Source organism: Homo sapiens, chromosome 7, assembly GCF_000001405.40.
Source record: "Homo sapiens chromosome 7, GRCh38.p14 Primary Assembly".
Classification (NCBI taxonomy): domain Eukaryota; kingdom Metazoa; phylum Chordata; class Mammalia; order Primates; family Hominidae; genus Homo; species Homo sapiens.
Window position 1 is genome coordinate 107,842,516 of NC_000007.14, and position 13,951 is coordinate 107,856,466.

The 13,951-nt window shown below is 44.3% G+C and overlaps 3 annotated features.

Annotated features, from left to right (window-relative positions):
- Positions 5,167-5,887: an enhancer, noted in NCBI's record as "H3K27ac hESC enhancer chr7:107488127-107488847 (GRCh37/hg19 assembly coordinates)". NCBI's record gives its function as "activates a minimal SCP1, AML or CMV promoter by ChIP-STARR-seq in primed H9 embryonic stem cells {active_cell/tissue: H9 hESC(primed)}" and the evidence as "EXISTENCE:reporter gene assay evidence [ECO:0000049][PMID:30033119]".
- Positions 5,167-5,911: a biological region, named in NCBI's record as "H3K27ac hESC enhancer GRCh37_chr7:107488127-107488847".
- Positions 5,761-5,911: a silencer, noted in NCBI's record as "fragment chr7:107488721-107488871 (GRCh37/hg19 assembly coordinates)". NCBI's record gives its function as "represses an EF-1alpha promoter that drives an FKBP-Casp9 reporter gene in an ReSE screen in HepG2 liver carcinoma cells {active_cell/tissue: HepG2}" and the evidence as "EXISTENCE:reporter gene assay evidence [ECO:0000049][PMID:32094911]".

Genomic DNA, 13,951 nt, shown 5'->3' on the forward strand with positions numbered 1-13,951 from the left:
ATAGGAAATTATCTTTTTAAATAACATTCATTAGGAAAAGCTTTAACTTATTAATTATTTACTGACTGAGAAGTGTTGCATAATGTATTGATCAAACCAATTCTTTCATATTTTAGAGGTGTTTGCATTCATCCTGCAGTATTACATAGGGCAAAGGTATTGTGAACATACACAGATCTTGTGATATAATTGTTTGTCTCAGTGTATGATGGACACGATTTGGTTCCATCCAAACCCCATGGAACTCACCCCAGCAGTCTTCCAACTTGGAGGAGAAATGCATCTGTGAATATTATTTCGCACATCTTGGGTTTCAGTGCAGCTCAACAAGGTACAGACACCACTGTGTCTTAATGGCTGGGGGATAGCGACTGCAGGTTTTAAAGATAACCTCAATGCTTGGTCAACTTAGGCTGCCGTAGATTTGGTCTGCTTACTCTAGACAAGGCCTCCAGTCTCCTTGGTTTAACAAACATTTACTGAGCACCTACTCTGTCTAGCAACTGTGCTGAGTGTTAGGGATACAACCAGAGACAAGGCAAAAATGGTGCTTGCTTTTACAGGGCTTCCATCTCCAGGAAAATATAGGCAATAAACAGGTCTATCAATGAACACACGAGAAAAAGCTGAAGACCGTGATCAGTGAAGCACACAAACGGGGCATGGTGATAGAGAAAAACAGTGGGCACGCAATCTAGCTTGGGAAAATGAGGTAGCACCCCTTTCAGGAGGTGATTTCAGCAGAGACCCGCAGGTACAAGGACACCACCCAGGCGAGGAGCCAGAAAGAGCAGCCGCAGCAGGTGGAGCGCATGGGCAGAGGGGCGGTGGTGGGACACGCGACTGTTTGGGATTGAGCGAGGCCACCTAAGCAGATTGCGGTGAGTGAGCGCGGAATGACGTCACTGACCTCCAATCAACTGTCACATGAAAATACCAAAAGCGGCAGTGTTCCTTTAGTCATGTGGATCACGCGGATCCAAAATGGTTTTTACAAGAGCTAAGAATGGGGTTTGCCTTTGTCTTATGAAGATCATAAGATACTTATGATCACAGATTGCTTAGGGATGTAATTTACACACAATAAAATTGAGGTATTTTATTGTACAGTTCTATGAGTTTTGACAGTCATATACAGTGTTGCAGTTACCACAACAATCGAGATACAGAATGTTTGCCTCACCCAGAAAAATTCCATTTTGTAGTTGCAAACTCTGTCCTCTGCCCCCAACTTCTGGCAACCACTGATCTGTTTTCTGTTCCTAGAGCTTTTGCCTTTTCCAAGAATTTCATATAAATGAAATCATATATTACAGAGTGCTTTTTGAGTCTAACTTCTTTCACTTAGAGATTTATCTATGCCCTGTGTGTATCAGTAGTTTGGGCCTTTTTATTTGCTAACTAATTAATATTTCAGTGTATGGATGTATTGTATCAGCCTCCTGTTGAAGGGCACTGGGTTGTTTTTGTTTTTTGGCAATGATGAGTAAAGTCAGTATCAGTATTTGTATTGTGTGTGTGTGTGTGTGTGCATATATTTTTATTTTTCTAGGCTAAATATTTAGGAGTGGGATTGCTGTGTCATATGGTAACATATATTTAACTTTATTTAAAAAGTGCCAAACTGTTTTCCAAAATGGCTGTATCAATTTGCATTCCCACCATTAATGTATAAAGTTCAGGTTAGCACTGGAACAAATCCAGTTAGCACAAATCTTTTTTGTTTGGTTTGTTTTAAAGGTAATTAAGATTTCCTTTCTTTTCTGTATCTCTTATTTATTAAATTTGCAACATTCGCTTCTCTCTTTCTTTTCTTTTTTTTTTTTTTTTTTTGAGATGGAGTCTTGCTCTGTTGCCCAGGCTGGAGTGCAGTGGTGTGATCTCGGCTCACTGCAACATCCACCTCCCTGGTTCAAGGGATTCTCCTGCCTCAGTCTCCCTCGTAGATGAGATTACAGGCTCCTGCCACCACGCCTGGCTAATTTTTGTATTTTTAGTAGAGAAGGGGTTTCACCATGTTGGCCAGGCTGGTCTCGACCTCCTGACCTCAAGTGATCCGCCAGCTTCGGGCCTCCCAAAGCACTGGGATTACAGGCGTGAACCACTGTGCCTGGCCTGCAACTTTCACTTCTGGATTGGCAGAAGCAAGGGACCTTCAGCTGGTACCATCTGTTTTCAGTTTATGATCCCATTTTAATTTCTTCTACTGTTATTCACACAATATGTTACATTCTTTACCCGTTTCCTGACGGCATAGACTCCAGTCCAGAAGTGAATATTGCATTGAATTCTATGCTGTCTGGAGATGGGTAGAGAATGCAACATATTGTGTGAATAACAGTAGAAGAAATGGAAACAGGATCACAAACTGAAAGCAGATAGTAGGAGCCGAAGTTCCCCTGCTTCTGGCTCAGCCACCCCTGAGTCCTGGCCTGGTTTGCAGTAGGCTTAGGGTGCCAGTAGGCATAGGGTGCCAGCCTGGCAGGTGGTACTTTGGGCTGCTCCAGCCACATGGTTCAGGGTCAGACTAAGACAGATGAGTAGTGCAGCCCAGGAGACTGGAATTTGATGGCCCAGGCCCTGCATAAGTACCATAAGTACCTGTAATTGGAGAGCAGATCTTGGCAGCTTGAGGACTCAGCTATGCTGTTTGGGAGTCTCTAGGGTGACAATTGTGTGGCTTCAAATATACATCTTGAATGCCTGTGCACTGAAATGTCCTATGCTGGGGAACTAGCTCCTAAACTGTGTATCTGGAGTTGCCATCCAGTTTGAGGTGCCCTACGGATCACATGAACTGGATTATTGCTCAACTTACCCTCCACTTTATGCTACATAAATTAGCCTCCCTAGGAGGGTGGAATTTAGTGGATACAATAGACATCAAATTACCATGACATGTCTAAGGGACTAAGTGACATAGTGGTATCTGGGTCATATTATCTGAATCACAAATAAGGAAATATGATTTAAAAATGATTTTGAGGGACTCTGTATATTTTATTACAATGTTTATTCACTTACCATTTTGAGGAAACATTTGAATTTCTAGGACATTGTGGCAATTTTTTGAAAACAAAGAGACAATATTTTAAATTAGCAAGACAGTTCTGGAAAAATCTAAGGTGTATGCTCGTCCTACAGGACAGATCTAGAGCCACTTGTCCTGCTACCTTTATGGCAATGGTAGGGCTAGAGGAAATACACAAAGCTCTGGGGTAAACTGGATTAACCAAACTTATGGTCATTGTTAACTGTATAGGCTTTGGAGTCACAGGAACTTGGATCCCAGTCTTGGTTCTGCCCATCTCTACTAGTCGTGTTGGGTAATTTTCTTTACTTTTAAAGGCTCAGTTTCTTCATGGAAGTTAATGTGGGAATATAATGTGACAAGAGTTGTAGTACTCAGTACAGTGCATGGTAAAAGCAAGAGCTCACAGTTAATGATAGCTATGATAATGATTTTTTTCCTTCTGTAGCTATTACACCCCCTAGTAATTCTGTGAGTTTTGACAGTCATACACAGCGGTGTAGTTACCACCACAATCAAGATACAGAATGGTTCTATCACCTGGAAAAATTCTATTTTGTAGTTGCAAACTTTCTCCTTCACCCCTAGCTTCTGGCAACCACTGATCTGTTTTCTGTCCCTAGAGCTTTTGTCTTTTCCAAGAATCCGTAGATATAGGGAGAAGGGAATATGAAATTTAAAACTAGCTGATTTAGATGACAAGGATGCAGAGGATTTCTTTTTTTGGACCACTAAAATCTTTTATATTTTCCACTTGTTCCTCCAGTTTGACAGATAAAGATATTTGGAATGCCATTATTGAAATTGCTAGCTTTATTAATTTTCTTTCTGAAGTGTGAATTACCACAACTAGTGGTTTAAAACAACACAGATATATTATCTTACAGCTTTGTATGTAAGAAGTTTGACACAGTTCTCACTAGGCTAAAATCAAGGTGCTGACATGGCTATGTTCCTCTCTGAAGGCTCTAGGGAACAATCTGTTTCCTTCCCCTTTCCAATTTCTAGAAGCTGCCCACATTTCTTGATTTGTGGTCTTTTCCTTCATCTTCAAGGCCAACCATGGCAGATCACATCCTTCTCATATTGCTTCTCTCTGACCTACTTTTTTCTGTTTTCTAATTTTAAGAACTCATGTAATTAAATTGGGCTAGCCTAGGTAATCCAAGATAATCTCCTCATCTCAAGGACCTTAACCCTAATCACCTCGGAAAGTCCGTTTGCAATATACCATTATATGTATACAGATACATTATCCATACCTATGTATTAATCCAAAAATGAGAATGACACCCAAGTAACCATAAAAACTGACATTTTTTTAATTCAACAACTCTTATTAGAGAAATCTCAAATAAGAGTGATTTTATTATGTTTTCCATTTAAATAACTCAATCATTGAAACACTTAAATAGCCACTTTAAATTATGCTTGAAAGACAAACTAACTGACCACTCCAAACTACATTAAGATAAAAAATTCGTTGTCTTGGAGTTCAAGACCACCCTGGGCAACATGGCGAGACCCCATCTCTACAAAAAAATACAAAATTTAGCGAGGCATGGTGGTGTGCACCTGTAGTCCCAGCTACTTGTGGGGCAGGGGTGGGAGGATGGCTTGAGCCTGGGAGGTAGAGGCTGCGGTGAGCTGAGATTGTACCACTGTACTCCAGCCTGGGTAAGCAGAGTGAGACCTGTCTCAAACAAACAAACACACACACACAGAAACCTACTCATTCACATGTACAACTTCTGCACACATCTCTCACTGTACACATACTTGTGCTATTTTTCAAAACTGTGAAAAGAAGAGTGGGCTGTTTCCATGGTGTTGCACTTGAGGAGTCTTGCTCAACTGCAGCTGGAGAGCATAATCCTCCAGTTGATAGAACTGGAGAAGGCTCTCCCTCTCCCTCTCCCTTTCCCTCCCCCTCCCTCTCCCTTTCCCTCCCCCTCCCCCTCTCCCCTCTCCCCTCTCCCCACTCCCCTCTCCCCTCTCCCCTCTCCCCTCTCCCCTCTCCCCTCTCCCTCTTTCCACGGTCTCCCTCTGGTGCCGAGCCCAAGCTGGACTGTACTGCTGCCATCTGTGCTCGCTGCAGCCTCCCTGCCTGATTCTCCTGCCTCGACCTGCCGAGTGCCTGCTATTGCAGGCGCGCGCCTCCACGCCTGACTGGTTTTCGTGTTTTTTTGGTGGAGACGGGGTTTCGCTGTGTTGGCCGGGCTGGTCTCCAGCTCCTAACCGGGAGTGATCTGCCAGCCTCGGCCTCCCGAGGTGCCGGGATTGCAGAGGGAGTCTAGTTCACTCAGTGCTCAATGTTGCCCAGGCTGGAGTGCAGTGGCGTGATCTCGGCTCGCTACAACCTCCACCTCCCAGCCGCCTGCCTTGGCCTCCCAAAGTGCCGAGATTGCAGCCTCTGCCCGGCCGCCACCCCCTCTGGGAGGTGAGGGGCGTCTCTGCCTGGCCGCCCATTGTCTGGGATGTGGGGAGCCCCTCTGCCCGGCTGCCCGGTCTGGGAAGTGAGGAGCGTCTCTGCCCGGCCGCCATCCCATCTAGGAAGTGAGGAGCGCCTCTGCCTGGCAGCCCATCGTCTGAGACGTGGGGAGTGCCTCTGCCCCGCCGCCCCGTCTGGGATGTGAGGAGCGCCTCTGCCTGGCCGCGACCCCGTCTGGGAGGTGAGGAGCGTCTCTGCCCGGCCGCCCCGTCTGAGAAGTGAGGAGCCCCTCCGCCCGGCAGCTGCCCCGTCTGAGAAGTGAGGAGCCCCTCCACCTGGCAGCCACCCCGTCTGGGAGGTGAGGAGCGTCTCCGCCCGGCAGCCGCCCCGTCCGGGAGGGAGGTGGGGAGTCAGCCCCCGCCCGGCCAGCCGCCCCGTCCTGGAGGGAGGTGGGGGCGCCTCCGCCCGGCCACCGCCCCGTCCCGGAGGTGGGGGACGCCTCTGCCCAGCCGCCCCTTCTGGGAAGTGAGGAGCCCCTCTGCCCGGCCGCCACCTCATCTGGGAGGTGTACCCAACAGCTCATTGAGAACGGGCCATGATGACGATGGCGGTTTTGTCTAATAGAAAAGGGGGAAATGTGGGGAAAAGACAGAGAAATCAGATTGTTGCTGTGTCTGTGTAGAAAGAAGTAGACATAGGAGACTCCATTCTGTTCTGTACTAAGAAAAATTCTTCTGCCTTGGGATGCTGTTGATCTATGACCTTACCCCCAACCCGGTGCTCTCTGAAACATGTGCTGTGTCCACTCAGGGTTAAATGGATTAAGGGCGGTGCAAGATGTGCTTTGTTAAACAGATGCTTGAAGGCAGCATGCTCGTTAAGAGTCATCACCACTCCCTAATCTCAAGTACCCAGGGACACAAACACTGCGGAAGGCCCCAGGGTCCTCTGCCTAGGAAAACCAGAGACCTTTGTTCACTTGGTTTTCTGCTGACCTTCCCTCCACTATTGTCCTATGACCCTGCCAAATCCCCCTCTGTGAGAAACACCCAAGAATGATCAATAAAAAAAAAAAATAGTAACTGGAGAAGGCTCAGTTGGAGTTGTTGAGGAGGTATAAACAACACTTTTAAATTTAATTTAATTTTATTTTATTTTATTATTTTTTGAGACAGGGTCTTGCTCTGTCACCCAGGCTGGAGAGCAGGGTGTGATCTCAGCTCACTACAGCCTTGACTTCCTGGGATCAAGCCATCCTTCCACCTCAGCCTCCCAAGCAGTCAAGACTACAGGCACACACCACCATGCCCAGTTAATTTTTTAATTTTCTGTAGAGACCGGGGTTTTGCCATGTTGCCCAGATTGGTCTTGAACTCCTGGACTCAAGGGATCTACTTGCCTCAGCCTCCCAAAGTGCTGGGATCACAGGTGAGAGCCACCGCACCTGGCCTGCTTTTATTTTTGAATAGTAGACTTCTTTTCTCTCTTTGGCTACTTTATCAAAACTTCAAAGGAGTTCCCACTTCTTTTGATAGTCACAGCAACCTGATTCATGGAGAAAACAAAAAAGATTAAGGGAGATGAAGTGGTGGTTATGGGAAGGGGCACATGTGAATAAACTTATTGAGTAACCCCACTTCTTAGGACAAAATCATCCAAAACACATATTCTTTTCCTTATGTACCATTCTTTACTATGCTAATAAATACATACATAAATAAATAAATGTGTTGTCAACTACTTTCTCTAATCTGCGTCTTGAATAGTTTTTCCAAGACTGATACATTTGAACTCATATCTTTCCCAATACTCCATGTGTCACAGAACCTGTATTTGTATCATGGCTGGCCAGAGGGGATTTGTAGTCTACAGCTGAAGAATGGAGTAAAGATTACAGGTAAATTAAATGAGGTCAAGTAAAGCCCCTATGTTAGAAAAAGGCATACTGTAATAAATATAAGTTATTTTGCAGCTGGGTGCGGTGGCTCACGCCTGTAATCCTAGCACTTTGGGAGGCCAAGACAGGCAGATTGCCTGAGCTCAGGAGTTCGAAACCAGCCTGGGCAACATGGTGAAACCCCGTCTCTACTAAAAATACAAAAAAATTAGCCAGGCATGGCAGCGTGTGCCTGTAGTCCCAGCTACTTGGGAGGCTGAGGCTGGAGAATTGCTTGAACCCTGGAGGCGGAGGTTGCAGTGAGCCGAGATCATGCCACTGCACTCCAGCCTGGGTGACAGAGCAAGACTCCGTCTCCAAAAAAAAAAAAATATATATATATATATATGTGTGTGTGTGTGTGTGTGTGTGTGTGTGTATACATATATATTTATGTGTATATATATGTTATTTTGCACTCCTGTTGCCCACCATTTATCACGCATGGCAGATCAGATCTGGCCTTACATAGGGTGCTTGGGGATTGTGGTCGTTGGATTAACAGCTGCTGGCAGTAGACAGATGCAACTTCCTTCCATTAACATCTGAAAGGCTAGACCTGGGCTCACTTGACACAAACATTTCCCAGTAACATAGAGGTTTTTGGATCACCCCAGGTCTTCCACAGCCAGCCCCCAGATCTTGGGTGCATCTGTGGGCAGTGGAGCCCCGTGCTTGGAAATGTACTGCTCTAGGGGATGTGAGCATGTCAGCATCGAAGACATCATTGCTGTGAGAGCAGAAGCTGGAATGGAGACCAGTTCAGATGGCTCCTGGTTTTTCCTACTTGTATTTTTCCTTCCTGGGCCTATCACATCCAGAAGTGAGCCTTACTCCAGCTGATGACTGTAATGAAATGTAACTATGCAGGAAAACTTGCCATTTCATCATTCCACTCTGGAATCTTTCCATGAGGCCCCATGGACTGGGATGTTTGACTTTTTCACCTTTCAAATCACTTCCCCGACTCTAAAACCCCAACCTCTCCAGTATGGGTAGGGCAGTATGGTGGGTGTGGACCAAATGAACTTTAACATGGGTGAGGTCCATGTCTAGAAGCTTAGTATTACTCACTTAAATGATGTTAAACTGGAATTAGGGCTGGGAAAATTGAAAGGTGAGGATGAGGAGGAGAGAGTATAAGGATGCATCTTTATACTCAAGAAAACAGAGGCATAGTCGTGAGTTTTTGCACTGGACGTCAATAAGGTCGGTTTATAGAGAGCATTCACTGATGCTCTAAGTGCCAGTCATTCAATAACTATTTATTGGGCACTGACTTAGGGTCAGACTGTTCTATGTACTAGGGAATAAAACAGATGGAACTTTCAAGTTTACATTCTAGTGAGGGGCGCCGATGAAGCATAAATAAGTTATGAACAGAGTAAAGTGATTCAGACTGGAGAAAGAGAAACTCAAGCTGACATCTGCCTGTTAAGAAGGAGCCATTTATGTGAAGTGCTGGTAAATAGTATTCCAGGAAGACAGAAGAGCAAGCGAAGGCCCTGGACTAATAGAAAGCCAGGTGGTCTTCAGCAACAGGAAAGGGCCAGTGAACTGGAAACTTTTACACCTGAGACTCTGTTTTGTTTTGTTTTTAAATTGTGGTAAAATATACATAAGATTTACCATTTTAGGCTGGGTGTGGTGGCTTATGCCGGTAATCCCAGCACTTTGGGAGGCTGAGTCGGGCAGACCATCTGAGGTCGGGAGTTGGAGACCAGCCTGGCCAACATGGTGAAACCCCATTTCTACTAAAAATACAAAAAAAAAAAAAAACCCAAAAAATTAGCCAGGCGTGGTGGTGGGCGTCTGTAATCTCAGCTACTTGGGAGGCTGAGGCACAAGAATTGCTTGAACCTGGGAGGCGGAGGTTGCAGTGAGCCAAGATCATGTCACTGCACTCCAGCCTGGGTGACAGAGCAAGACTGTCTCAAACAAAACAACAACAATAACAACAACAACAACAGCAACAACAAAAAGATTTACCATTTTAATCATTAAGTATATATTGATTATACATTTTCAGTGGCATTAAATACATTCACATCATTGTGAACCACTATCTGTCTCCAGAACTTTTCCATCATCCTAAACAAAAACCACCCATTAAATGGTAACTCCCCAGTCTTCCCTCTCCCCAGCTCCTGGCAACCACTATTCTACTTTCTGTCTCTGTGAATTTGACTACTCAAGGTAGGTGGAATCATACAAATTTGTCCTTCTGTGTCTTGCTTATTTTATTTAGCCTAATGTTTTCAAGGTTCAACCATGTTGTAGCATGTGTCAGAATTGGATTCCTTTTTAAGGCTGAATAATGTTCCATTGTATGTTTATTCCACATTTAATTTTTCCATTAATGGACATCTGGGTTGTTCCTACCTTTTGGTTTTGTGAATAATGCTGCTATGAACATTAGTGTTGAGACTCAGGTTTACATTGTTAGACTCAGTAGTCTCATTTAACTCTTGCAATGAATGCATGGAATTGAAACACAGGTGAATCATGTTTTAAAAAAACAAAGTGGGGCCGGGAATGGTGGTTCACGCCTATAATCCCAGCACTTTGGGGGGTCGAGGCAGAAGGATTGCTTGAGGTCAGGACCAGTCTGGACAATATATTGAGACCCTGTCTCTACCAAAGTAGATAAATAAGTGACTTGAGTGTATGTTCCCCATCACTAAGATTTATAGTTTACATAGTTCTTTGACTTATTTTGTTAGTTGACTTAGTATTTCTATGCATTTCTATATATTGACTGGGTATAATTATAAAGAATATTCATTAAGTCTAGGGATTGCATTTTGAAATCATTGTAATTATTTTCTTTCTTCAAGTGTTCAAGGTAAAGCATATAATTAAAAAATAAACATTTAAAAAATTGCCTAATGTGGAGAAGTGCCAGGAATATCTTGGTCTCTAAACTGACCCAGAGCACATCACTCAAGCTCAGCCAGAATACTCCAGTGTAAGAGGGTAAGAGTATGGCTCTTACTGTAAGGAAACCGAAAAAAAAAAAAAAAAAGAAACGTGAGTTATATTCATGTGACTGTGCTTGTATCTACAAAACTGTGACTGAGTTGAGAAAATACGCTGTTAGCCATGTTTTCCCCAAAATCATTGCACTGTGTTTTGACATTGGGGCTGAAATTTTCATAAGCCCCACTCTACCCCACACCCAGGATGATGAGGAACAGAGATGCCCATTTCACCATTCACGTATGGGTGGTTTTCCAAGGTGCTCCTCAAGAAGCCTTGGACATTTAAGTCTACATCTGATATTTATCTAATGAATAATGTGGTTTACATAAGGAACCAAGTGATTTACTCCCTAGCTCCCCAAAAATGCTTTTTCTTTTCTTTTTTTCTTTCTTTTTTTTTTTTTTCTTTTTTTTTTTGAGACAGAGTCTCACTCTATTACCCAGGCTGGAGTGCAGTGGCAGGTCTCGGCCCACTGCAACCTCCTGCTCCTGGACTCAAGCAATCGTTCCATCTCAGCTTCCTGAGTAGCTGGGATTACAGATGCATGCCATTACACCCGGCTAACTTTTGTATTTTTTGTAGAGACGGGGTTTTGCCATCTTGCTGGTCTTGGACTCCTGAGCTCAAGTGATCCACCCACCTAGGCCTCCCAAAGTGCTGGGATTACAGGCATGAGCCACTGCGCCCAGCCTAAAAAATACTTTTTGAAATCTCAGCTAGATTCATTGGCTAACAAGGTAATTCTGTCAGAACTGAAGCTATTAAGGCAGGGAAGATTCTACTCACTTTTTAAATCCTAGTTTAAATTTTTAAAAAATCCTTTAAAATTCATAAGTTCTAAATCTGCATAGAAACATATACAGATATAGCTATCCAAAGCATTCTCACTTTAAACTTTTGTGAGACCTCACAAAGAAATTATAGAGTTTTCTAGACTCAAAATCACGAAACGTCTGGCATCCTTTGCTGTCAAGAACCGTACAAGAATCACCCTCACTTATTGAGATGCTGTTATCTGTTCCAACCAAGGAATTCCAGACGTTAACAAACGCAGAGAAGGACCTGGGAAGCAGAGGCAGCTGAGGTGGGGCTCACTGAGAAGATGTCTTAGGGTTTGGGGGTGTTCCTACCCTTGCACTCATCAACCATGTACCCCCGAACATCACCTCTTCCTGAACTAGGGGACCGGAGGTCATTTTACAGAGATTGCTGTAATGGTTCATTCTGTGGGCAGGTGTGATTGGGCAGGTAGGGGAGAGATGGTGAATTGGAAAGACATGTTGAACTGAGTCTGAATTAGTTTCTTTCTTTTGCCCCTGATGAAGATGGAAATGGGTTTCCTCTTTGCCTTTTCACACAAGTGCTGCAGACAACGTCTGTGATTGCACCAACTCCTGGTGCCTCACCCAGAGCATCGCCTCCCCAGATGTTATTCATCCTTGTGTTTTCTCCTGGCCTGAAAGGAGACAGCTTTGACTCTCCAGGAGATGGGAAACTAGTTTTCTACTAAATTCCCATTCTAGCCTACAAATTCCTATCAGAACAACAGCCCCCCACTAACTGGATTGTTGTTACGCCTCCACTTTACTCTGTGACACCTGCAGACATCTCTATATTGTACTTTTTCCCAATGAATTAAGATCACAAGAGGATATATGCTTTTCACAATTTGCCTCTGTGTCTTAGTGCAGTGTACATACTATTGTGAAAATATAGATGTAGCTGGGTGTTTGTGTTGGCTCTAAACAAACCAGTTCTTGCAATCCTGGCCAGTTTCCACCTGTGTCTACATATCCCTCAAATACAAGAACAATGCATAGCCCAAAATCAGCCTGTGTGATAGATGCAATCTGGGGAAGGTGAAGTTAACTTATGATGCAAAAAGGCAGAATGGAAAGCCATGGTTGGCAAGATGATGACAAAAGCTAAATAAATGTCCTTGACCTAGAACTACAGAGAAGATGTTCTCTGGGAAGACTTGTGAGTGCACGTCTCAAATTTCGAAACTCTGATCTTCCTTGCCAACCCCTACCCCACCTCTATTCCCCTCCAAAGCCCTAAATATAAATCGCTATGTCTTCTTTCACAAAATAGAGACCAAACTCCTCGTCAGGCACAGAATATACAAGGCTTTTCTTTGGTCTAGACTCTCTACCTTTCCAGCTTCCTCTTCAGTTATCTCCCTCTCATAATCCATGCTCCAGTCAAAGTGAGTTATTGTCCTCATCCTCCATTATGCTGTGTCTTACCCCCAACACCCCCAGGTCATGTTCCCTCTCCACTAGACCCTTTCCTCCCTGCTTCACGTGGTGGAGAGTCTTTGGCACGTGTTGACTCATGTCCTCTGGATCCTCTCCAAATGTGTGAGGACATTCCTCACTTGTGAGCCTTGTTGGGAGACAGTGCTTGTCTTCCTTTACAGAAGTTGAAAAGACCCAGCACTCAATCTGCCGCTACCTTGGCAGATAAGATGTGGGGAGATAGCCTTGGCTTGGTCCATCAGCTGCACCTATTAGCAATATTGAATCTGGAAGTAATGATACAAACAAGCAGGGCAAGGAAGACTCCCTTTGGCCGTGGTGGTTGGCAGGAGTGAGGGGGGCAGCAGCATGTGATTTCCAGCAGCCAGTCTGTGATGCCACACCACCAATGGCATCCTCACCTCACTGGCACCACTTTCCCAAATCTTGTTCTCCATGTTTCCTAGAAATTGTATGATCATCTGATAGTCTCTCTATACATTCTCTGCTTAAAATGGCCAGTCTGTTTCTGTCACTTGCAATGAAGACTCTGACTGGCTGGGCACAGTGGCTCATGCCTGTAATCCCAGCACCTTTGGAAGGCCAAGGTGGAAGGATCCCTTGAGGCCAGGAATTCAAGATCAGCCTGGACAACATAGCAGACCCCATCTCTACCAAAAAACAGCTGGGCATGATGGTGCATGCCTGTAGTCAAAGCTACTAGGGAGGCTGAGGCAGGAGGATCACTTGAGCCCAGGAGTTTGAGGCTGCAGAACAAGACCCTGTTTCTTAACAAAAAGAAAGCCTTTGATATACCTGGCCAGTTTCTATTTGTCTTTTGAGACTCCTCTCAGTGACTATTTTCTTGGAAAGCAGTGCTCATCCCTGCCCCACTCCTAGCCAGTGTTTCTCCTATAGACTCCCATAAAAGTCTGGTCCATTCTGGCTCAGCGTTTATGCTGACATTAATAGCATTAGTCATATTATTAATGCTGACATTAATCACAGCATTTATTAACACTGTGTCAGGACCTGCCACTAACTCACTTGTCCCCCTTCTGGGCTGTAAGTTCTTGAGGACACAGACTAGGTTTTGCCCCTCTCTATCCCTAGAACCCAGAACAGTATGTTAACATGGCATGCAGTAATAGCATTACAGCAACAGTACTAATACCAGTAATAACAATAACTTTTATTGAGCACCTATTATGTGCCAAGGTGCAGAAAAAAATGCTTATTTGATAAATAATGTACACTGAAAATTGCTCACCGAATATTTTTGAATACTTTCATACTCACAGAGTATTTTTGTATTTTGAATACAGGCAACC